Genomic DNA, 25,818 nt, shown 5'->3' with positions numbered 1-25,818 from the left:
AAATCCTCAGCAACCTAAATATCAGATAATGGGGAAATGACTAAATCAAGTAGCCATTAAAATTGTGTATCTAAAGAGTTCTCAATGACTGGTGAAAATGTTAAGTGGAAAAAAGCAGAGCAACTTTGTGTGTCTGCAGTGTGTCTGCAGCATGAGTCACGCCTGACATATGGGGCATCCTCATTAAATATTTGTTGGATGAAGGAATAAACTTTGTAAAATATATTTATGTAGCTATATACTGCAGCAATTAAAATGCTTTTGGCTGCCAGGAACAGCAAATCATAAATAGAGGTGGCTTAAACATGCAGGGGCTAGCTCCTAGAACATGAAATTGAGAGAGAGGGCAGCTCCAGGGATGGTTAATATGGTGACTTTAGAATATGATGCATGAATCAAGACCGACTCCTTCCCAGCTCTGGCCCCATCACCATGTCAGCTGGCTCCCTTCATACCAAGAGTTACAGGAACCACTCCTTCACACACCAGTGTCCAGAGTCAGAAAAATGGTTTCCTACTTTGTGTATCCTTTCCAGAAATCCTTTGGCAAAATTGCCATTATATACCACTGACCAGCCCAAGTTACATGCATACTCCGAAAACCAATTATCTATAAGAGGAAAGATTCCTCTGGTCAGGATTCATCAGATTCCCTTGGGGGAAGAGATGGACCTCAGAAATGACAATGTCTGCCACGGACATACATAGAAAAGGGGGGAAAAATACACGAAATTTTCAATCAGGTTATTTCGAGGTGATGATAACACAAATGATTTAATTATTTTCTAATGTTTTATCTTTCATTACTTTTTTTTTAAAGACTAGCCAAGTGCAGTAGTGAGAATGGGGGAAGGAGTAGAACAAAGAGTGCTATCTGTAACTGTGAACAATCAATTGAAATAACTCACTACCTTCAGACCAGCCTCTTTCATTACTGCTTTTCTTTTTTTTGAGATAGGATCTCACTGTGCTACTCAGGCTGGAGTGCAGTTGCGTGATCTCAGCTCATGGCAACCTCCACCTCCCAGGTTCAGGCGATTCTCCTGCCTCAGCCTCCCAAGTAGCTGGGATTACAGGTTGCATCACCACACCTGGTTAATTCTTGTATTTATTTTATTTTATTTTTTGAGATGGAGTCCCGCTCTGTCGCAAGGCTGGAGTGCAGTGGTGTGATCTTGGCTCACTGCAACCTCCGCCTCCTGGGTTCAAGTGCTTCTTCTGCCTCATCCTCCCGAGTAGCTGGGACTACAGGCGCATGCCACCATGCCGAGCTAATTTTTGTATTTTTAGTAGGGACAGGGTTTCACCACGTTGGCCAGGATGGTCTTGATCTCTTGACCTCGTGATCCACCTGCCTCGGCCTCCCAAAGTGCTGGGACTACAGGCATGAGCCACTGAGCCAGGCCTCTTTCATTATTTTTAAACTGAGAAAAATATGTTTCTCAGCAGGTTTTCTCAAGTTGCAGTCAAACACCTGCACAGATACCTGCAGCATACCTCTTGATTCATTCTTCTCAATACTCCGAGGAACCAAAGCTTGACTTGCATATACTTTCCCACAATCTTTTTGATGCTAACAGTTTAAGCCTTCTCATGTGGGATGAAACTACAAAAGAATTGGCAGACTTTTTTTTTTTGGTAAAAAGCCCCTCCAATGTCAACTGGGATGAAGAAAGGAGGCAAGAACAGACTCCTGTGGATTATTCTTGAGGGGTGAGGTGGGGGATGGGAAGTGGGTTCAATGATGGAAGACTTAGAAGATCAGCAGGAGGCCCTGGGTCCTCACTGGGCCCATTGTATTTATGTGGATTATGAAACCACAACTCTCAAAGCTGGACAGACTTCATGACATTCTAGTCCAAGCTTTTCAAGTTATCGGTGGGGAAACTGAAGCTTCAATAAGCCAGGCAATCTTCACAGGTTGTGGAGGCTTGGCTAAATTCAGATCCCATGTCTGCAATGCAGACTTCTCTCCTCTCCTCCTGTTGCTTGTGGTACATAGGTTCCAAAGATGATTTCAAACAAATTGCTCCCATCCTTGTAAGCACTTGCTGTTTTTCCCATTAAGAGATGAAGCCTATTTCCTCTCTCCTTGAATCTTGGATGACCCTGAGACTTGCTCTGACCAGCAGAATATGGTGGGAGCGATGCTGTACTAGTTCCAGGCTTAGGCTGTCAGAAGCTTAGGAACTTCAGCTTCCTCTCTCTGGATCCCCTAGACACCACGTAAGAAGGGTGACCACTCAGCTGGAGAGACAGGCCCAGCCATTCCTAGATGACTGGATTCCTAGTGCCAGGTACTGAGTAAAGCCCAAGCCAAGGCTACAGCTGGATGCAGTCACAAGAGTCAGCAGTTGACACTGAGTTGAGCCAAAGAACTGCCAGCTGAGCCCAGGAAATTCACAGCATTGTGAGAAACACCCATGGTTGGTCAAACCACTCACTTGGGGAGGTTTGCCACACAGCGATGGATAATGAAATATCTTCTGTCTGGGACTTTCAGTGTTTTCAACAGGCACCTGTTTCCCTCTATCTTCCTCCTCTTCTTCAGCTCCCTGCTCCATTTTCCATTGAAAATTAGGTGTGAGGGACTTAAAGGGGCTTCAAGAGGAGGCCTTGCAAGGTATGTGGAATTTAATGGAGGTTCAACTTGTAAATCAAGCAGGCTGTTGAACCTGTTTGATTTTTAAGGAACAGCCTCCAATTGAGGGCAGGGGTAGGAGGAAGAGAGCATTCTACTGTTGATAAATATTTGGCTGCTTCCCAAATTGGGCTATAAGAATAATGTTTCCACAAACTTTTTTGTACATGTCTTTTTGAGATGAAGTAGGGACCCCTCTTAGGAGCCTGCTGGTCCACTCCCAAACCCACAAGCATGGAAATAAAGGAAAATCTTGAGTTCCTTCAGGGGAAATTCCAGGTACCTAGGTACCCCTGAGAAGTAAATGAGCAACTTGATGACCAAGAAGGGAGTAGTAGCTTAAAACAATAGCTAAGGAAGCTGAAGTCACAAGGTTTTTGGTTCCCTATAGAAACTAAAGATAACATCTTAATATATGTCTCCGAGTTGTTTTTCAGAAACCTGGTCCCCCACCAAATGGATCCACTGTCATGTACATCTCAGATAAGGGGGAGCTGAGGACTGAACTCTGAGTGCTATCCTTTGTTCTAAAGTTCTTCCTGAGCATCCTGGAGGAGGTTATGCCCATTAGCCAGAGCTAACATTCTTCTCTGCTGACCCTAAATTTTTATTTTATTTTATTTATTATTTATTTATTTATTTAATTTTTTTGAAACAGGGTCTTGCTCTGTCACCCAGGCTGGAGTGCAATGGTGTGATCACGGCTCACTGCAGCCTCAACCTCCTAGGCTCAAACAATCCTCTTGCCTCAGCCTCCTACGTAGCTGGGACTATTGGTTTACAATACCAAACAAAACCAATTTTTGGATTTTTTGTAGAGATGAAGTCTCACTATGTTGCCCAGACTGGTCTCAAACTTCTGGGCTCAAGCACTATCTGCCAGCCTTGGCATCCCAAACTGTTGGGATTACAGGTGTGAGCCACCATGCCCGGCCTGACCTCCAGTTTTTAAATAAAGCTTCTTTTCCTTAAGTAATTGCAAATTGGAAAATCTTTGAATCTACGTGATATGGTTTGGCTCTGAGTCCCCACCCAAATGTCACCTCATATTATAATCCCCACGTGTCAAAGGAGGGACCTGGTGGGAGGTGATTGGATCATGGGGGCAGTTTCCTCCATGCTGTTCTCATGATAGTGAGGGAGTTCTCATGAGATCTGATGGTTTTATTTATTTATTTATTTTTTATTGTCTTTCAGACAGAGTCTCGCTCTTGTTGCCCAGGCTGGGGTGCAGTGGCACAATCTCGGCTCACTGCAAGCTCCACCTCCCAGGTTCACGCCATTCTCCTGCCTCAGCCTCATGAGTAGCTGGGACTACAGGTGCCCACCACCACACCCGGCTAATTTTTTTTGTATTTTTTTAGTAGAGACAGGGTTTCACCATGTTAGCCAGGATGGTCTGCATCTCCTGACCTCATGATCCGCCCGCCTCGGCCTCCCAAAGTGCTGGGATTACAGGCATGAGCCACTGCGCCTGGCCGAGATCTGACAGTTTTATAAGGGACTCTTCCCTCTTTGCACTTTCTCTTGCCTGCTGCCATGTAAGATGTGCCTGCTTCCCCTTCTGCCATGATTTTAAGTTTCCTGAGGCCTTCTCAGCCATGCAGAACTGTGAGTCAATTAAACCTCTTTTCTTTATAAACTATCCAGTCTCAGGTGTTTCTTTATAGCAGTGTGAAAACGGACTAATACACTACCTATGATCTGTAAGCCCCTGCTTCAAGATATCCTGCCCTTTTAGGCCAAACCAATGTATAATCTTCATGTATTGACTTACAATTCTGCTTGTAACCTCTACTTTCCTGAAATTTTCCCTTGCTTGCAAGCCATTGGGAAGTTTGGGTCTTAAGCCTGAGCTGCCTGATTCTCCTTGTTTAGTGCCCTGCAAACAAACACCCTCCTTTCTCCCCATTTCAAACCCTGGTGTGGATATCTGGCCTTACTGCACCTGGCAAGTGGACCCCAGTTCAGTTCGATAACATTTTGGTGACCATATGTACATATTTCTCTTGGATACATACACTTATGAATGCAATTGATGACTCACATAATATGAATATGTTCAGCAAAGTGGATGTACAAATTTACCCTCCCCTCATCAAAGTTTGAGCTTCAGTTCATATTCTTCATATTCTTTTTGAATTTTTAGAGGTGGGGTCTCACTCCGTCACGCAGGCTGGAGTGCAGTGGTGCAATCATAGCTCACTGCAGCCTCAAACTCCTGGGCTCAGGTGATCCTACTGCCTCAGCCTCCCAAGTAGCTGGGACTACAGGCATGAGCCACCACACCTAGTATATTCTTCATATTCTCGCTGATATTCATTGTAACTATTTTGGTGGATACATAGTGGTTTTCATTCGCATCTCCTTCATGTCTAATCAAGTTGAACATCTTTTCATAGGTTTCACGGTAATTTGAATATTCTCTTTAGCACCTGCTCACTTATTTTGGCCATTTCTCTTGTTTATTATTGATTTCTAGGTGACATAGAAATATTGAAGCTCTAGGCCTTGAGTGAGGCTTGGAAGGGGGCAGGTTTGCTGGGTGAATTTACTGCCTCATTCATGCAAGGGCAGTGGGTTTCACACAATCTGCTTGGCCAGCCTTTTATCTTTCACAACACTCATTTCTCTGATTGAAAATTATTTCTAGCTTTTTTTTTACCCTAGCCAATTCACTCTGTGGTGCAGATTCTGATGACAATGTTGATCGTGCTTAATAGTAACCTCTTTAGAATGGATTCCAAAATAGACACTTGCATGGCCAATTGCCTCTCAGGTATAAATTGAAGTGAACTTATGCAAACCCACACACTTATAACACTCTATGCTGAAGTGTTTTATGGTAAGTGACCACTCATATAACACCAGAACAATACAATCACATCAGTGTAACACTTTACACTGAAGTGTTTTATGGTTAAGTTACCACTCAGACAATACAATAACACCAGAACATGCTCATGTTAACACTGTATCAGGATTCAAATTTGACAAGCCAGGGTTTGGATCCTATAATCGAAAGCTATAGTTGTGCACCAAAGGCTTACATGTTCCGTAGGAAATTAACAATTTCGGTCACCTCGCCCTCGAGGAACTCCTGTACACCTATAAATCTAAGGCAAGGGTACAAGCTGGTGACTCAAAATCCTTTTCCAAGCCCTTCTATCACTTTTTTTTTTTTTTTTGATATAGACTCTGGCTCCATCACCCGGGATAGAGTGCAGAGGTACTATCTCGGCTCACTGCAACCTCCACCTCCCAGGTTCAAGCAATTCTCCTGCCTCAACCTCCCATGTAGCTGGGATTACAGGCACCTGCCACCACAGCCAGCTAATTTTTGTATTTTTAGTAGAGACGGGGTTCCACCATATTGACCAGGCTGGTCTGGAACTCCTGACCTCAGGTGATCTGCCCACCTAATCCTCCCAAAGCGGTGGGATTACATGTGTGAGCCACCACGCCTGGCCCCTTCTATAACTTTATAAAGTCAATTTTTTCCCATCAAGAACACTGCCCACTGAGTTCTGCAAGACAGAATGATGCCAGTAGACAGAACTTAGTTTTGTCTCTGTGAAATTTCACATTGCTCCATGTTTGTGTTCATCATGTGAAAGGAAAATAAATCTTGGGGCCCCCAAATCACTAAGCTAAAGGGAAAAGTCAAGTTGGGAACTGCTCAGGTCAAACCTGCCTCTCATTCTATTCAAAGTCACCCCTCTGCTCACTGAGATAGATGCATATCTGATTGCTTCCCTTTGGAAAGGCTAATCGGAAACTCAAAAGAATGTAACCATTTGTCTCTCACCTACCTATGACTTGGAAGCTCCCTCCCCACTTCCATTCTTCCTGCCTTTGCTTAAGTTGTCCCACTTTTCCAGACATATATTAATTGACGTCTCATGTCTCCCTAAAATTTATAAAACCAAGCTGTGCCCCAGCCACCTTAGGCACATGCCGTCAGGACTTCCTGAGGCTGCATCACAGGCACGTGTCTTCAACCTTGGCAAAATAAACTTTCTAAATTAACTTAGACATGTCTCACATGTTCAGGGTCCACAATCATAATCTGCTTTATACAAATCAAAAAAGCAGTCTTTATGAATTATGAAAATCAAGGTAAGGATATCTCTCCTTTGACATCGTTCCTTCTTCACAAACACCACTGGAAAATTACCAAGAAGGAATAATGGGATGTGAAACTGGCCTTCTCTGGCCTCTATGAGTTTTCCTTCATAGTCTACCCATGTGCCTTGGGGCTCCTGTGTACAGAATAAATCTGTTGCTTAGCAGTCTCAGCCCTACAGAGAAGAGCCTCCCCAAGGAGGGGCTCAGCAGGTCTGTCTCCTTTCTCACCTAGCTGGAAATGAGCTGTAGGGATTGGTGACACGATTAGGCAAGTGAACTGGTATTTACCAGGAGATTATGTGAAAGGAAATTAAATTTTGGGACCCCAAACTCATTTAGCCAAAGGGAAAAGTCAAGCTGGGAACTGGGTCCGGCAAACCTGCCTCTGCCTTTTGGTTCCTAAATAAGATGGCTACAAGATGAAAAGCTACATCCTCCCCCATATTTTGCCCACAAGGAAATTCCTAGTGAGCTGTTAAAATTTCACCACAGCAATGCAAATTGATAGCTTATCTTTACAGGTGCAGTCAGCCCTGTCCAACAGACACAAATGCATATCTGATTGTTCCCCTGCCCCATTTTGTCTATGCTATCTGACAGAAAATGCAGATTCCCTGCATTTTTCCTCTGCCCCATTTGTTTACGTCATCTTATGTAAAACATACAGATTCATTGAGCCAGACAAAGGCATGAATGTCTATTTTTTCCCTATCCTACTCTTACAGGAAAATTGTATACTTCTCAATATCCCGCCCTTCCCCTTTAGATTTGAAGCCCTCAAAATCATCTTCAGAGAAAGGCATAGACCTGTCTCCCTGGCACGCATGCTTAACTTTGGCAAATAAATCTCTTAAAATGATTGAGGCCAGGTGCGGTGGCTCACGCCTGTAATCCCAGCACGTCGGGAGGCTGAGACGGGTGGATCACCTGAGGTCAGGAGTTGGAGACCAGCCTGGCCAACACAGAGAAACCGTGTCTTTACTAAAAATACAAAAATTAGCTGGGTGTGGTGGTGGGCACCTGTAATCCCAGTTACTTGGGAGGCTGAGGCAGGAGAATCACCTGAACCTGGGAGGTGGAGGTTGCAGTGAGCTGGGATTGCACCACCGCACTCTGGCCTGGGCAACAGAGTGAGACTCTGTCTCAAAATAAATAAATAATAAAATGATTGAGGCTTGTAATTTTTTTTTTTGATTGACAATCATATGGGTAAAATCTTCTCTTAGTTAAATGCTTGGATGATTTACTTCTCAGGGGTACCTAGGTACCTGGAATTTCCCCTGAAGGAACTCAATTATTTTCTTTTATTTCCATGCTTGTGGGTTTGGGAGTGGGCCAGCAGGCTCCTAAGAGGGATCCCTGCTTCATCTCAAAAAGACATGTACAAAAAAGTTTGTGGAAACACTATTCTTATAGCCCAATTTGGGAAGCAGCCAAATATTTATCAACAGTAGAATGCTCTCTTCCTCCTACCCCTGCCCTCAGTTGGAGGCTGTTCCTTAAAATCATCTCTGCCCCCGGCAGAAGAAGAAAGTACAGAATGTTAGAAATTTTAAAAAACCTAACTTTTGGGAGTGCCAGAGTGGTGATGAGAGTCCCTTAAAGAAACTTAAGGTAAGGAGAGACCGGGACAAGTAAGTACCTCGGGATATGTATGCTAGGAGTTATGTGGAGAGGGAGGAGGCCCATGGAGAGGTCCAGGGGGCATCTGTACTTCACAGGCTACTGAGAGCCCGTCTGCAGATAAAGTTCTATGAATATCCTAAAGAAAATGCTTAGAGATAAACGTTTACCATATGAGGGGCAGGGGTTCCCCATCAAAGCTGACTTCCTCTGGGAAATCCTCGTTTCTCATGTTGAGAGAGGCATGCAAGGAAAGTGCTGCTGTGACAATCAAATAAGGCAGCATTGAGTATTCCGTAGGTTTCAAACACTGTGTTGACAGCAAGGAGAGGAGGTAGTAGTGAGACGATAGTTTCTGCCCTCCAGGAGTTTCAAACCTGATCCAGGAAATAAAGTACTAGAAATAACACACAAGAAGGCGACCTGCACAAGGCAGTGTACAAAATCAAGTCAACACCTCTTCTGAGTCACCTGCAGATGACACCAAAGATATATGCCCAAAATAAAACTTCTTAAAACTTCATAAAAACTTCTGCCAAGCTTCAGAGAGGATGGAAGATCTGATCACATCTTTATTTGCAGTATTTAAAAATTAACTTTTTAGTTTATAAAAATTAACTTTTATACTGCATATAAAAGGTGAATGTATTATTAGTCTGTTCTCACGCTGCTAATAAACACATACCTGAGACTGGGTAATTTATAAAGGAAAGAAATTTAATTGACTCACAGCTCCACACGGTTGGGGAGGCTTCACAATCATGGTGGAAGGTGAATGAGGAGCAAAGTCATGTCTTACATGGTGGCAGGCCAGAGGTTATAAAACCATCAGATCTCATGAGACTTACTCACTACTGTGAGAACAGTATGGGGGAAATGGCCCCCTCCATGATTCAATTATCTCCACCTGGCCCCACCCTTAACACGTGGGGATTATTACAATTCAAGGTGAGATTTGGGTGGTGACACAGACAAACCATGTCAGTGAATAAGGTAGAAGGAAACTTAGATCACCTGGGACAAAGGTCCTAAACTTTAGTATGCCAAGAAATCCCCTGAGGAGCTTGTTAAAAACTGGGATTTCTAGGCCTTATCACCAGATAGTCTGATTCAGGAGGTTGAGTAGGACCAGAAAACATGCATTTTAAACCAGTGCCTAATAGTGATCTGATGCAATGGCCACAGACCTCACTCAGGGAAATACCTACGAGCTAGAGTCATGGCACTGGGGTAGACAGTGTTGGTTTGTGGAAGGCAACAAAAGTCAAGTGTGCCTGGGGAAGAGTCTAAAGAATGGTGTCCCTATTCCCCAACAAAACCCAGCAAAGGATAACAATATCTCTGGGGTCCTGGAAGCAAAAGCAACCCTCACTTTTTTTTTTTTGAGACAGGTCTTACTCTGTCGCCCAGGCTGAAGTGCAGTGGTGTGACCTCAGCTCACTGCAGCCTCAACCTCCTGGGCACAAGCAATCCTTCCACCTCAGCCTCAGTAGCTGGGACTACAGGCACACACCACCATGCCTGACTAATTTTTGTATCTTTTATAGAGATGGGGTCTTGCCATGTTGTCCAGGCTGGCTTCGACTTCCTGGCTTCAAGCAATCTGCCTGCCTCAGCCTCCCAAAGTGCTGGGATTACAGTAGTGAGCCACCACACCCCGCCCCTCACTTGTTTTGTATGTTAGTATGTGATGCAGAAAACATTTCAGATGGTACAGTACGTAAAATGAGCTGTCTTCAGAAGTTCTGGGTTAACCGTGGGGCCTTGTGGCCGACAGGAAAATAGTTGCTCCTTACTCTTCCTTTGGATGGAACTGACTTCCAAAGTATTCAAGGACCTTCTACTTCCTACATGTTGATAAAGGAAGTGAAGAGAGGAAAGTGTTTCTTCCCAGCCAATACACCTCCTGTCATGTGAGCCAGGCAGGTGCTAGTCCCAGTTTATTTTTGTAAAATGAGGTTTGGGATTATTGGCAGGGGGTGGGGGTAGCAGAGGAAGAGGGAGATGCAGCAATGTGATAGAGGATTGAGGCAGTCACTTCCGAACCAGCTTTCGGCAGGGGTGTTTGCTAGCTTGGTGGACTGCCTCAGCGAATGAGCAGGCCTGGGTCCCCAGTGTTCTAGGCAGTGTTTTCTAGTGTGGCACCTTAACCATTGGTATCAAAACCATCTGAGGAACTTGTTTAAATGCAGATTCCTGAGCCTTACCTACAAATCAGCATGTCTGGGATTGAATCCAGTTCCCTGCATTTAGAACAATGATTACCCTACAGCAGGAGAATCACTGTTCTGGAGTTTTCCATTCAAGACAGCGTTGCTCCATGATTTAATAGACCAAAGGAGGACTGGCAATTAAGTAACTCAATAAATGTTATGCTTCCAGGATAACTGTACTCTTTATATCTGTGTTACCTGGTGGTGAGAAAAGCAATGAAAATAGATCGTCTTTGGGAAGTTCTTCCTTCGCTCCTGGGCTTTTGGTTCATGACTGCGATACGAGGGTTAAACCTCTCTAGGTCCCTAAGCACAAAGCTGTTTGACTGTCAGAATTGTGCCATAATGAGGACAGTCATGATGACAGTCTGTGCCCGATTTTCAGAGCCAGGCACTGAGTTTGGTGCTTCCCATAATCCTCATGCCAACCTTGAGAGGTGGGAACCCTTCATCCCCCTTTTACACTTGAGAAATCTGAAGTACACAGAGGTTAAGTAACTTGCTCAAAGTCATGTAGCTAGCTAGTTAGGGCCTGGGTGCTAGTGCAGACCCAGTTAATAACCTCACTGTGTCATGCCCACAACTTATTCTGGTTGTCCCTTTGGTAAAATGAGGATAGGGTGTTCCAGATGAGGTCTAAGGACCTTCCAATGTCAATATTCTGTGATTTGGGTGTGTGTGTGCAGGGCACCAATCAGAGCTCATTCTGCTCATGCCATCATCCCAGGATTCTGGGGAGGACTCACCCTGCCTCTGCAGCTCTCCTTCCACAGGCCAGGCAGGTAGACCCACAGTCTACCCAAATAAATAAGAAAATTTCTTTTTTTTTTTTTTTGAGACAGAGTCTTGCTCTGTCGCCCAGACTAGGGTGCAGTGGTGTGATCTTGGCTCACTGGAACCTCCACCTCCCAGGTTCAAGTGATTCTCCTGCCTCAGCCTCCCAAGTAGCTGGGATTATAGGTGCCTGCCACCACGTCTGGCTAATTTTTGTATTTTTAGTAGAGATGGGGTTTCTCCATGTTGGCCAGGCTGGTCTTGAACTCCTGACCACAGGTGGTCTGCCCGCCTTAGCACCCCAAAGTGCTGGGATTATAGGCGTGAGCCACTGCGCCCGGCAACCCAAAGAAAATTTCTATCTGTAACACTTCTCAACTAAAAAATATGTTACAGGCTGATTTAAAGCATATTAAAATTTGCCAGGTAAGCCAAAGGGAACGTATTTCCACTCTGTGCTTGAGCTATCATTTTGCAGCGGTTACCGCTATCAATACAGTTCTTCCCAAAGTTACAGATATTCTTGGAATTTGATATTTTTAGGGTTATGACTCCTCTCTCATTTCCATAACAGTAAAGCATCTCTGACAAAAGATTATGAATGTAGCACAGATTAAACTGTTTTCCAGGTAACTTCTGAACTATGGGGATGTTTCTAGACTCTTCAGCAACAAGTAGTTTATAAGTGAAAAATAAATTACAGCTATTCTAACTGTATAAGCTGAAAACGAGGGTATGATAAATAGAGACTCTTTAAATCATCTGCATTACTACAAATCACAGTAGTTCTTGCACTCAGAAATAACAAAAATCGGCTGCATGGGAATCAGAGTGCATCAGCTTGCGAAGAGGAATTCAAAACGTTTCATTTCCCTGAGAGTCACTGCATCTTGGGGGCATTTAGTGCTGTGTTTTCTGCTTTCACAAGCTTTCCCTCCTCACGGTCAGCCAGGATGATGGTTGGAATGAATGCTAGAAGCAATAAATGCTGTCATTATTTCTGATTTTACCCTCATTTAAGGTGAAAAACAATGTGATTTACTTATCTCAAGGAGGTGTCCCAATTCCAGTGCTTCTTAACTTCTAAAATTGTGAAACTATTCCTTAAAAGCAAGCAGATATAATTATGTTCTCTCTTGAACTAAATTGCCCTCCCTCAGACTGAGAAGAAATGGTTCAATTAAGTAGAATGTTACCAACACAGGCATGTAACCGATGAAAGGTGCCTTTGTGCCTTTTCTTCAACGTGAGTGAGAAAATCTGGCTCTGAGACATTTTGAAGAATGATGACTATGTCTTTATTTTGATGGACCTCTGGGCCAAGTATACCTGAATCTGCCTGCCTTTTTGAATTTCTTGCTGCAGAGGACAGGTACACAAGGCCCCTCTGGAGAGGTGGCCGTTGGTGTAAAAAGCAGAAGAAGATGAGCTGTACTTCTTGGCCTAGGGTGGGTCCCAGCCCCACCCTGATCAGCACTCTCCCTCTCCCCATGGCAGCCTCTTTGGCCCTGATATGGTTTGGCCGTGTCCCCGCCCAAATCTCATCTTGAATTCCCATGTGCTGTGGGAGGGACCCAGTGGGAGGTAACTGAATCATGGGAGTGGGTCTTTCCTGGGTTGTTATTGTGATAGTGAATAAGTCTCACGAGATCTGATGGTTTTAAAAACGGGAGTTTCCCTGCACAAGCTCTCTTGCCAGCCACCATGTAAGACATGTCTTGCTTCCCCTTTGCCTTCCACCATGACTGCGAGGCCTCCTCAGCCACGCGGAACTGTAAGTCCATTAAATCCTTTTGCATGTATAAATTACCCATGGGTAAGGGGTATGCGAAATGAACAGTGTGAAATGAACAAATACAGTGAGAAATGAACGAGCAGTATAAAAACAAACTAATACAGGCCCATTTGTGGGACCCTCATGCTTCCAGAAATCCCATTTGAAAGTCAAAGACCTACAAAGGATTAGTGGTTCTCTCACCTTTTATGGTTTTACTTAAGTGTCAAGAATAAAGCATGGCCCAGGGATACAAAATGACAGAATCAAAAAGACTTGAAATAAATGTGTTATTTACAGTATGTGTTCTTTCAGTCTGTAGCTCTTTCCTACAAAATCATGAAATTTCCTATGGTACTACTGAACCACTAGGTATACTGCATTAACCTACAAACTCCAAGAAATGTTTGACACACACCTCACATTTGCTATGACAGTAACTCTAGGGAACAACCCTAGTAGAAGATTAAGTTTTTCTTCTCTCTTCTCCATTCTCTCCTTCTTTTCTAGTCTCTTTCTTCCCTTCCCCCTTCCTTCCATTTCTTTAAAAGAGTCTTTAAAGAGATACAACTGAAACCTCATTCTTTTTAGAGGCGCCTTCTAGGCATAGCTAAATGAATCACTGTTCTGCAAGAAATGGTTCTTTGAGGGGGTTCTTTTGGGGCCTTTCCTTAAAAATGTTAATTTTAGTATTATTAGTGTCAGAAAGAAGTTGTAACTTTCCTTTGGCCAAAGCCAGTATAGATCCATTCTTTAAAAGCATTGTGACATTTGTGGCACACATGGGATGGGTATAATAATTGAGCTGGCAGAGGAAAAGTTCAAAAATATTGTAACGCAATGGCATTTTAGCTAGTCATGGGGAAAGGATGGGCTGATTCATTAGGATTTATTTTTCCACAAAGGGAACAGAGACTGAAGACAGACACCTCCCATGAACTCCAGGCTGCTACCCCAAATGCCAGAGTCTTTGGTAAGTGACTTTTAAACATAGAAATGTGGGCTGAGCACAGTGGCTCATGCCTGTAATCCCAGCACTTTGGGAGGCTGAGGCAAGAGGATCACTTGAGGTCAGCAGTTTGAGACCAGCCTGGCCAACATGGTGAAACCCCATCTCTACTAAAAGAACACAAAAATTAGCTGGGGGTGGTGGCACATGCCTGTACTCCCAGCTACTCGGGAGGCAGAGGGAGGAGAATCGCTTGAACCCAGGAGGCGGAGGCTGCAGTGAGCCGAGATTGCACCACTGCATTTGAGCCTGGGCTACAGAGCAAGACTCCGTCTCTAAATAAATAAATAAATAAATAAATAAGAAACGTGAAGTTAGATGGAACTGCCAACTCAGCTAGCAAGTGTGAAGCACCCAGTGCAAACCACAGTTCAAGTTCATCCTGCACCTGATGTGCTTTGTGTCAGTCACACTGTTATGCTCAGTGGGGTCCGACTTGGTGGCTCAAGCATGTGGCTAAGAAAGGGTGAAGTCATTGTTATCCATTGGGCAACAGAAAGAGGAATGAGCAGCTACAGAGGCAGACAGAAGGCACTGAAGAGAATGATTTAAATCCTGAACCATATCTCAGAGGCTCTCCTATCTGAGTGTCTTCACTGCAGGCTTCTGGGAGTTGAGACAAAGGGATTTTCTTCTGATGACATAATTTCTAGTTTTACTGGCAAAAATAGGCTCTAAAATGAATTCACCTAACTTGCGTTTCTCTTCCTTAAGGATTGTTCTGTGACTCTACTTTTCTCTCCTACCTGCATCTGGAATGTTCCTTCTCCTTGACAAGCCATTTGTGTTCATCATTTCCACTTATTCATTCAACAAACATTAGTAAAGCATCTACTACATGCCAGATGTGGAGTTCATTGTTATCAGTAAATAAGACATTACCTCTCAGCTTCCTTAAACTGTATTTCTTCCAGAATTTGCATGTTGTTTCTCCAGCAGTTTCTGCTTCATTGCCTACATTTTTCATGTGTTTACTGGCCTTTTGTATTTCTTCTTCTGTGACTTGCCTGCTTATGTTTTTAGCCCACTTTCCTATTAGGGTATTTATGGTTTTTCTTATTGGTTGGTAAGAGCTCTTTACATATTTTTAAGAACGTTAACCCTTTGTCTTCTATATATGTTGCAAATATTTTCCCCATTTGTGTTTGTCTTTTATTTGTGCATAAATGTTTTGCTGCTACACTAAAGTTTAATTTTTGTTTAGGTAAATCAATTTCTTTTATTGTGGCTCTTGGCTTTTGGGGTCACAGAGAGTAAAGTCTTTCCTTCCTTACCCTAGGAATATTCCAGTATTCACTTATGGCTGTGCTTTTCAAAAACAATGTAATATTTAATTCCTTGTTAATTGCAGGCACATAACATTTTAAAAAGTTTATTTTTCTTATCACTATTTTAAATTGAAATTTCTATTGAGATAATTGCAGACTGACAGCAGTTGTAAGAAATAATACAGAAAGATTCTGTTTATACTTTACCCAGTTTTCCTCAATGGCAACATTTCGCAAAACTACAGCATAATATCACTACCAGGATATTGACATTGATACAATCCAATGATCTTTTTCCTTTTCCCCTGTTGGACTTGTGCTAGTGTGTCTTTAGTTCTCATGTGTAGGCTCTTCAGCACCATCTCTGAATAGTCTATTCTTTCTCCACTCTCCCGAAATGTCACTTATCAGAGACAAAATTCTTACATCTGTTTCTGGATTTTATATTTTGTTTAATTGATCCATTGCCTATGCTGGGGCTGGTACCAAAAATGTAGACAGTTCTCCTTTTTGTTTTTGTTTTGTTTTGTTTTTTCTGAGAGAGGGTCTGACTCTGTTGCCCAGGGTGGAGTGCAGTGGTCAATTACAGCTCACTGCAGCCTCGCCCTCCCAGGCTCAAGTGATTCTCCCACCTTGGCCTCCCAAGTACCTGGGACCACAGGTGCGCACTGCCACGTCTGGGTAAGTTTTTTGATGTATTGTAGAGACGGGGTCTTGTTACATTGCCCAGGCTGGTCTCAAACTCCTGGGCTCACACAATCCTCCTTCCTGGGCCTCCTGAAGTGTTGAGATTCCAGGTGTGAGCCACCACGTCCAGCCCTGTTCTCCTTTTCTTAATGCTTGTGAGGGCTCTTCCCTCACCTCTCTTCTCTTCCTCCTCCTTTTCCCTTTTTGTTTTCAAAGATGCCCTTGCTTATTTCATGTTCAATTTTCCTGATGAGCTTTAGAATCATTTGGTTAAGTTCCAGAAAAGATATTTGGATTGTGATTAGGGTTGCCTTACATTTAGAGATTCATTTGTGGAGAAATGACATCCTTACCAAACCGAGTTTTTCCACTAGGAACACAGTGTCTCTCCATTTATAGAAACCTTTTAAAAATGAGCTTTAGTAGAATGTTGTAATTACTTCATATGAATTCTGCACAAATCTTGTCACACTGATTCCCATTTCATAGCTTTTGTAGATATTGCAGATGGAATCTTTTCTCCCACCATACATATTTTTGGTTGTTTTCTTATTATTGATTTTTATAGTGGTAAAATACATATAAAATTTGCCATTTTCACCATTTTAAAATGTATAGTTCAGTAGCAGTAAGTACATGCATGATGTGTACAATCACCACTAGCCATCTCCAGAACTTTTTCATTATCCCAGAGTCTCTGTGCTTATAAACAGTAACTCCCTGTTCCCTCGCCCCACTGCGGCAGCCTCTATTCTACTGTCTATCTATAAACTTGCTTATTCTGTGTACCTCATATAAGTGATAAGTGGGCTCGTGTAATATTTTGTCCTTCTGTGTCTGACTTCTTCCATTTAGCATGATGTTGTCAAGGCTGATCCATGTTATAGCATGGATCAGAATTTCATTCCTTCTTATGGCTGCATAACATTTTATTGTATGTATAGACCACATTTTGTTTATCCATTTATCCATCCATGGACACTTGGGTTGTTTCCTCCTTTTGGCTGTGAATAATGCTGTTAGGAACAGGGGTGTGAAAATATCTGTTTGAGTCTCTGCTTTTAATTCTTTTGGGTACATATTAAAAAAGAATATTTAATATTTTTTCACAACTGATTATTAGTGGCAGATAGCAGGGGAAAGGTATTACATTTCTTTCTTTCTTTTTCTTTTTTTTTTTTTTCTGAACTGGAGTCTTGCTCTTGTCACCCAGGCTGGTGTCCAATGGCGCGATCTTGGCTCATTGCAACCTCCACCTCCCAGGTTCAAGCGATTCCCCTGTCTCAGCCTCCAGAGCATCTGGGATTACAGGTGCCTGCCACCATGCCCGGCTAATTTTTGTATTTTTAGTAGAGATGGGGTTTCACCATGTTGACCAGGCTGGTCTTGAACTCCTGACCTCAGGTGATCCACCCGCCTTGGCCTCTCAAAGTGCTGGGATTACAGGCATGAGTATTACATTTCTAATTAGAAAAAAAATTAACATTTCCATCTACCCAAACACAAAAATAAAAAATCACCCAAAATATAAGTACTCATCTTTCAAGGCCCTTGCTAAATGCCCTTTCTGTTTGTACAGGCCCTGACCTCACAGGGACAGTCATTCATGAACTCTTAGCCATGAGCTCAGCACACACCAGATACCCTAAACTATTACATGTAATTGTTCATGAAAACTCGGTTCTCTCTTTGTGCTTTTGAGTCTTCTAGACGAGTTTATTCACAAAGGCAAAAGGGAGTTAGGGCAGGTGCAACAGGAAGACTCCATTAACTTTGCAGAAGTGGTTTTGAGGCAACGAAAGCAGGTGAATTTCTCGAAAGTGCCAGGTTGTTTTGTCAATGTCTAGGTATTTACTGTAGGCCAGTAACACACTTGAATATATCTCTCTTTCACTTTCCTCACAAGAAAAGTAATTTCTCTTTCTAAATTGTGTATATTCTTTTTTGCCGCAGCCTGAAGGCCTAATCAATACAACTTTGTATTTTCTGTTAAGTTTTAAGCTCCTCGGGAGCAGAGGCTTGTCCTGCAACCCCCTCTGTATGCATGCATGTGCACACACACACACACACACACACACACACCCCTACACACACACGATTATTAAGAATACCAAGTCTGGAGTCAGGCTATCTGGGTTCAGATCTCAGCCCTGTCACTACTCACCCAAGGACACCCATCTAGAAAGGGATACAGGGGGAATTTAAACCCCAGCAATGTGGGGTCATTATTCTAACCTTAAGCAAATTATTTAACCTCTTATGTGTCTCAGTTTCTTTATCTATAAAACAGGATACTAACAGTACCACCCTCGTAGGACTTTTGTGAGAACTAAATAACCTAATATAGATAAAACACTAGATATGTGCCTTAGAGTTCTAAGAGTTTGCCCTTCTAAGGGGAGGCTGTGATTGACATCTACAGTGCCAAGCCCCCGTGTTTGCTGAGTAACACTTTCTGTTAATTGGGTCTTCCATTGTACACCTTGGGAGATTTCTCATCTAATCACACCTTTGCCCTCCTGCAGCTGGAATAGCATTTCCATTTGTATTTGACAAGAACCAGTTATCAAGAACAGACAGACCCAGGCCATCTGCCTGATTGATTGTGTTTATGGCCCTGAGGGCAGCAGACTCCTGGAAAGAGAGGACAGGCAGGCCCTGAGTCCTGGCTCCGTTTCTGATTTCTAATCAGGGCAGAAAGGTCTTAGCTATTGTCATGGTTTGCATAGACCTCTGGAAAAACATGTGTTGGAAACTTAGTCTCCAAAGCAACAGTGTTGGGAGGTGGGGCCGAATGGGAAGTGTTTAGGTCATCAGCACTCCACTCTCAGTGGATTAATGCCGACTATAAAAGGGCCTGAGGTTGTGAGTTTGATCTCTTGCTCTCTCTCACCCTCTCTTTGCTCTTCCACCAAGGGATAATGCAACAAGAAGGCCTTTGCCTGATGCCAGCCACTCAACCTTGGACTTTCCAGCCCCAGAACTGCAAGCCAATCCATTTCTGTTCATTATAAACTTCCCAGTCTAGGGTATCCTGTTATAGCAACACAAACGGACTAAGACAGTATGATGGTTGAGGGGTTCTGGAGCTCCCAAGTGTGCCCTCTTCCAACTGGGGACCCACAGACTCCCACAAGCCTGGCTAATCAACACTACTGTCAAGTTCTAAGGAGGCCTTCCTCTTACGGCCTGTCCCAGGCTGTGGTTACGTTGCTTGTTAGGTCTTGTTACATTTGCATGTCTCCCCCAGTAGGACATACGCAGCATGAGGACAGAGACCTTGACTCGAGGACAATGTTTGTCAAATATTTGGAAAGAAGGAAGGCAGGCAGGCAGGAAGGGAGGAAGGGAACCTTCTCCCTCCTCTACCCCACCTACTCACTTCTCAAACACTGCACCCCAGGAAGCCTTCTTTGAAATGTATTTTTTCTCCAGTTTTTGGGAGCCAAGAAAAAGAAACATGAAAACAAGGCTGTAAACCATTCAAAAGTAGGACTGTGCCCATCCTGGTGTTTTCCCCCCTTCCCTTCTGGTCCCCAGTGCTTGGCCAAGAGGTGGCCACGGTTACAGGTCAAGGCCTGGGCCAGGTCATGAATGCTTCCTTTTAGGAATTTTGACTTAGCCCATATTTTTTTCTCTCTCCTATCAGAGACAGATAATAAACGAATAATCTTTGTTCTTCCACCTCTTTCCCTGATGGACACCAGCTGGGAGGGCATGGGTGCGGGGACATTTCCCACAGTCTATCTGTGGTCCCTGGGGCCATGTCTTGTCAGGGTAGATGGAACACCAGGCCAGCCCTGGTATCTTCACCAGCTTCTCACAGGAGGCCCTGGAGCTCTGGGCAACCATGGCTCTGGGCCATTGACAGGTCTGCTCCTGCTGTGGTCGCCTCCCTTCTAACCTGCAATCAGCCTGAAGGTTTGTTCAGCTCAGTCCAGGGCATGGGACCAAGCACCACCAGCAGGAGTTCCCAAGGTCGGGGGTTCATTGCCATTGCCATCTGATCCTTCGAAAAAATAAATGCTAGCCAGGCACAGTGGCTCACACCTGTAATCCCAGCACTCTGGGAGGCTGAGGTGGATGGATCACTTGAGATCAGGAGCTCGAGACCAGCCTGGCCAACATGGCAAAACCCCATCTCTACTAAAAATACAAAAATTAGCCGGGCGTGGTGGCACATGCCTGTAGTCCCAGCTACTCGGGAGGCTGAGGCAGGAGAATTGCTTGAACTGGGAGGCAGAGGTTGCAGTGAGCCGAGATCAGGCCATCGCACTCCAGCCTGGGTGACAGAGCAAGACTCTGTCTGAAAAAAAAAAAAAAAAAGGAAAGCCAAGCCAGGTATGGTGGCCCATGCCTGTAATCCCAGCACTTTAGGAGGCCAAGGCAGGATCACTTGAGTCCAGGAGTTCGAGACCAGCCTGGACAATATAGCAAGACCCTGTCTCTACAAAAAATTTAAAAACTTAGCTGGGTGTGGTGCCACATGCCTGCAGTCTCAGCTACTCGGGAGGCCGGAGCGAGAGGATTTCTTGAGCCCAGGAGTTTAAGGCTGCAGTGAGCTATGACTGCACCACTGCACTCCAGCCTGGGTGACACAGTGAGACTCCATCTCTAAAAGATTAAAAACTAAATAAATGCCGACACTTTTTTTTCGTGGTTACAACGTGCTTGACTACTAAGACAGGATGACTCTAACGGGATGAAAAGGGCCTGCACGAGTACAGCAGATTTTTATCCAGAATGAATTTTGGTTCAATTAATATTCTGGTTAACTGAGGATTACAATAGATAGTAGATACAAATGTGCAATTATCAAAGTATGTCAAAATGTGCCCATCACACAAATTTACCAGATTATATTTAAAACTATCTTTGATGGTCCAGATGGCATTTCAGATTCTTGCAGTACATCAAAATTATCAAAATAAGCACAAATTATTTTGAAATAGCATTGATGGGAGTGTCTGATTATATGAAATTCCTTGCTGCTTGAATTCCAGTAAGTGCACTTTCTATGTTTACTTGTACCTAGAATAAACTCTGGTTTATTCAGAATCCAAACCTATGCATTTATGCAACACGAGAAAGTATAACCACTGGACTGGACCCCAGTACAGCCAACTGGAAAGATACCCTTGAGACATATATTGTCAGGGCTAGAAGGCTCCAGCTTGCAGAAGGAGAGCAGGTGGCCTCCTGCATGTGAGGCAGAAGAGCACCATGGGGAAAAGCAGGGACTCACATCTTGCTTTTGCCACTCATGCACACGAGGACCTTGGATATGGTATTTAACCTCCCCTATGCCTCATCTGTGGAATGGGATGATCGTAATACCCCACAGGACTGGGGGTCAGATTCAGTGAAATGGAGTATATAATGTGCCTGCTGCTCCTCCTTGTTTTGGCCCCCGTTCCTTGAATATTTCAGTCCCTGGCTCACAGTTGTCCTTCTCTTCAACACTATTCCTGCCACAATTCTATGTGGCTTTAGTATTCACAGAGAATCAATTGCTCCCTTGCAAAACCCTGGCCTGGCATCTCAATTCTCGAACCTTCTCCTTTGGCATACTAAATTATTTTTTTCATTTGGTTTCCAAGACACAAGTCTCCTCTGGTTTTCTTCCTAAGTCACTGTCTTCTCGTTCTCAGTCTCCTTTGCTAGCTCTTCTTCATATTTCTGTCTTTTAAGTATTGGGGCACCCCATCCCTCAGTCCTGGGGCCTCTTCTCCACTCTCTCTGTTCGTTCCCTTGATGATATCATTTGGTGTCATGATTTTAAATACCATCTCTATGCTGACGTCTTTTAGGTTTTTTTTTTTTTTGGCCAGACTCTCACTCTGTCACCTAGGCTGGAGGGCAGTGGCACGAACGTGGCTCACTGCAGCCTCGACCTACCGGGCTCAAGTGATCCTCCCACCTCAAGCCCCCCAAGTAGCTGTGACTACAAGTGTGCGCTACCATGCCTGGGTAATTTTCATATTTTTTGTAGAGATGGGGTTTAGCCATGTTGCCCAGGCTCGTCTCGAACTCCTGACCTCAAGTGATCTGCCTGCCTCGGCCTCCCAAAGTGCTGAGATTACAGGTGTGAGCCACCACACCTGGCCTGTCTTCCAGATTTTATCTCTAGTTTGAACTCATTCTGCCGAACTCCATACTCGTGCATCCAGCTGCCTGTTTTACTTTTCCACTTGGCTATGTAATACTGATTCTCAAATTAACAGGTCCAAAATGGAATTCCTTTATTTCCCCTCCAATCTGATCCACCCACAGTTTTTCTTTTTTCAAAAAATAGCAACTTTCCCCTTCCAGTTGTTGAGGACTAAAATAAAATAGTCATCTTGTACTCTTCCTCTGACACATCCGATCCATCAAGAGATCCCGTTTGTTCTACCTACCAAAATATATTCAGAACTCAACCATTTCTCATCACCTTTCCTGCTACCTCTCCAGTCCAAAATATTCTGTTTTCCCTGAATTCTTGTAGGAGTCTCCTGAATGGTCCCTCTGCAGCTATCCTTCCCTAGCCTGCAGCAGCCAGAGCCATCCTTCAGAAACAAGTCAGATCACACACCCCGTAGCCCCAAACTCTCCATTGGCCCCCATTCACCTGGTGTGAAAACCAAAGTCTTTCCAAGAGCCCACAAAGCTGCCCCAATCTTCCCCTCCCCAATCCTACCTCTAAATTCTTCTCCAGCCCCTCCACTGTTCACTCAGTCTCTTTGGCTCCATGGCCTCCTTGCTGCTCCTCCTCCATCCCAGGCCCCCGCTGCACCTCTTGCTTCCTCTGCATTTCCCCCAGATAGCTGCAAGCCTCATCCTTTCACCTCTTCATGTGTTTGCTCAAATGCCACCTTCTCAGTGAAGCCTTCCCCAACCACCCTAAAGAAAACTCAAAACTCCCATCCCTCTTTCCTGCTTTACTGTAATTTTTCTACAGCACATATCACCAGTATGATATACCATATATTTTATATATTTATTTATTGTCTCTCCTATTAGAATGTATGTTCCACTAGGACAGAGATTTTTGTCTGTCTTGTTCACTGCTGTATCCTCAGAGCCTAGGATGATGCCTGAAACATAGTAAGGGCTCAACAAATATTATTTTCATTTGTACATACAGTACATAGTCAGATTAACTTCACCTCTTCCTGTACAGCTTTTGCAATTATTCCCACCTAAATTTGCCAATGCAATATCTCACAGGGGAAGGGCTAGCTAATTAAATTAATAAAATTAATAGGGTAAGCAAGTGTCCAAGGGAAAATTTTGAAATTATCTAGAGAATAAGTGATTTACAAATGTCCTTAACCTACAAGTAACCATTTATGTAAACAAACTGATTGGTTTTTTATAAGCCATTCTTATTGATACCTCTGATAGTTCTGAGTATGTCTGAATGGTCCTGTTTATCCTCTCCTGTCATTGTAACCAATCACGCAATGGCAGCTGGACAGGCTGACCAGGAAACAGACTGCAGGATGGGCTAGGCTAGTAGAGCACATGCTTAGTAAAGAGCATAGCATTGTGGGTAAGAGAGCAAGCATTGTGGGTAGTAGAGCAGGCATTGTGGGTAGAGAAGCAGGCATTATGGGTGGAAGACCATGGCACTGTAGGTAGAAGAGCAGGCATTATGGGTAGGAGAGCAGGTATTGTGTGTTAAGAGAGCAGGCATTATGGGTGGGAGAGCATGGCATTGTGGGTAGGAGAGCAGGTATTGTGGGTAGGAGAGCACAGCATTGTGGGTAGGAGAGCAGGCATTGTGGGTAGAAGAGCAGGCATTATGGGTAGGAGAGCACAGCATTGTGGGTAGTAGAAGTGGTGCTGTTGTAGGAAAGCCCACATTCAGTGTTGGTAGAGATCATTCAGGACTGTTGGCAAGGGCAGAACATTCTCATAGTTTCAGAGCAAACCAAATAGAGCACATGCTGCCTAATTAGGGTCAGGCAGAAGCAAAGGATAAAATCCTGACTGAAGTCAGAGCATAGGGCCAATCAGAGATGCAGACCAGATAAGAGGCTGAGTCCAACTGGAACTAACCACATCAGGGGGCAAGATCCATGCCAAGACCCACCCACCACCACCTGGTGACGCCAGGACAGAGGCTAGGTGGCCTGCTCTAAGCACATTCTTTGGTGGGCAGATGGGGGCTGCCAGGTGTCACCGCTCTTGGGAGAAAGGCTGGGCACACAGGACATAGAGCTGTGGCTGCCATGCCTGAAGACAGCTCCCTGCCTCTAAGTCGAGAGAGATCTAAGCTGATCTTCACAGCTCAGAGGCCTTCAGACTGCAGCCCATGTTTCTTCTCATGATCCCTTTTCAGTACTCCTGATGACATTAGATCAAGGGCTTTCCATAAATGGAAACTTCATCCATACCACAATATTTACTGCATATTCACTGCATGCCAGATTATGTGCTATATGCTTAGATCATGACAAAAAAGTAAACACAGTTCCTGCCTGCAAGTGCAATAGTGAAAATAGACTCATAAATAAGGATAAGTAAACTATGGTGATGATAATAACAGCAACAGTTAGTATTTATCCAGCATGTACCGGGTTCCAGGCTCTGTGCTATAAACTTTTACATGGATCATTTTATTCAGGAAACTGTGAGATAGATAGTACTGGTATTAAGTTTCTATTTTACAGAGACTTATAGAGGTAAAAGAAATTGCTCATGGTCACACAGCTAGGAAGAAGCAGAGCCAGTATGAGAACTACAGTCTTTCTCACTCCAAAGAATGTGCCTTAATCACTAAGCCCTACTTATTCTTGGGGCTTTAGGGAGTACAGTGGGAGGAATACCTAATTCTGACTAGGGTCTGGGAAGGCCAGGGGAAGGAGAGTCAGGGAGGTCAGAGAAGGCTTCCCCTGGGAGGCAGGGGATGTCTGAGCTGAGGCCAGAAGAATCAGTACATGTGGTCTAGGTAGGGTTGCAGGAGAAACAATGCAGGCTCAGGGAACTTCTAGTGCATAGGAAGAGCATGGTGTGCTCAGGCAAGTGTCAGCAGGGTGGCAATGGGGATGGGCAGAGTTGAGTGTCAGAGGGGCAAAGCTAGGGAAATGTCAAGGCCCAGACCAGGCCCTTACTACAATGCAGTCCAGCATGATCCTGTGCTACAGATCTCCTAGGCCTCAGAAACCCATAGAATGAAACCTCCTTGAAGGGGGAGACTCTATGTCAATTAAAATAGGTTACTTATAAAACAATCCTAAAATTCATATGGGACCATTAAAGACTCCAAATAGTCAAAGCAATCTTGAGCAAAAAGAATAAACCTGGAGGTATCACACTATCTGATTTTAAAATAGACTATGAGGCTACTGTATTAGACCATTCTCACACTGCTAATAACATACCTGAGACTGGATAATTTATAAAGAAAAAGAGGTTTAATGAACTCACAGTTCCACATGGCTGGAGAGGCCTCACAATCATGGTGGAAGGCAAAGGAGGAGCAAAGGCATGCCCTTCTTTTTTTTTTGAGATGGAGTTTTGCTCTTATTGCCCAGGCTGCAGTGCAATGGCGCGATCTCGGGTCACCACAACCTCCACCTCCCGGGTTCAAGCGATTCTCCTGCCTCAGCCTTCTGAGTAGCTGGGATTACAGGTGTGCGCCACTACGCCCAACTAATTTTGTATTTTTAGTAGAGATGGGGTTTTACCATGTTGGTCAGGCTGGTCTGGAACTC

The 25,818-nt window shown here is 44.0% G+C and overlaps 1 protein-coding gene across 1 annotated transcript in view, besides 1 other annotated feature; it reads right to left on the bottom strand.

Moving 5' to 3' along the window:
- The window catches only part of KCNK13 (potassium two pore domain channel subfamily K member 13), a 123,860-nt gene that overhangs the window by 7,708 nt on the left and 90,334 nt on the right, over positions 1 to 25,818 (bottom strand). The gene's annotated exons all lie outside the window — the stretch shown is intronic.
- Positions 18,481 to 18,982: an enhancer, noted in NCBI's record as "NANOG hESC enhancer chr14:90625508-90626009 (GRCh37/hg19 assembly coordinates)". NCBI's record gives its function as "activates a minimal SCP1, AML or CMV promoter by ChIP-STARR-seq in primed H9 embryonic stem cells {active_cell/tissue: H9 hESC(primed)}" and the evidence as "EXISTENCE:reporter gene assay evidence [ECO:0000049][PMID:30033119]".

The sequence above is a fragment of the Homo sapiens genome, chromosome 14, assembly GCF_000001405.40.
Source record: "Homo sapiens chromosome 14, GRCh38.p14 Primary Assembly".
Classification (NCBI taxonomy): domain Eukaryota; kingdom Metazoa; phylum Chordata; class Mammalia; order Primates; family Hominidae; genus Homo; species Homo sapiens.
This window is presented reverse-complemented; position numbering and strand designations above follow the sequence as displayed.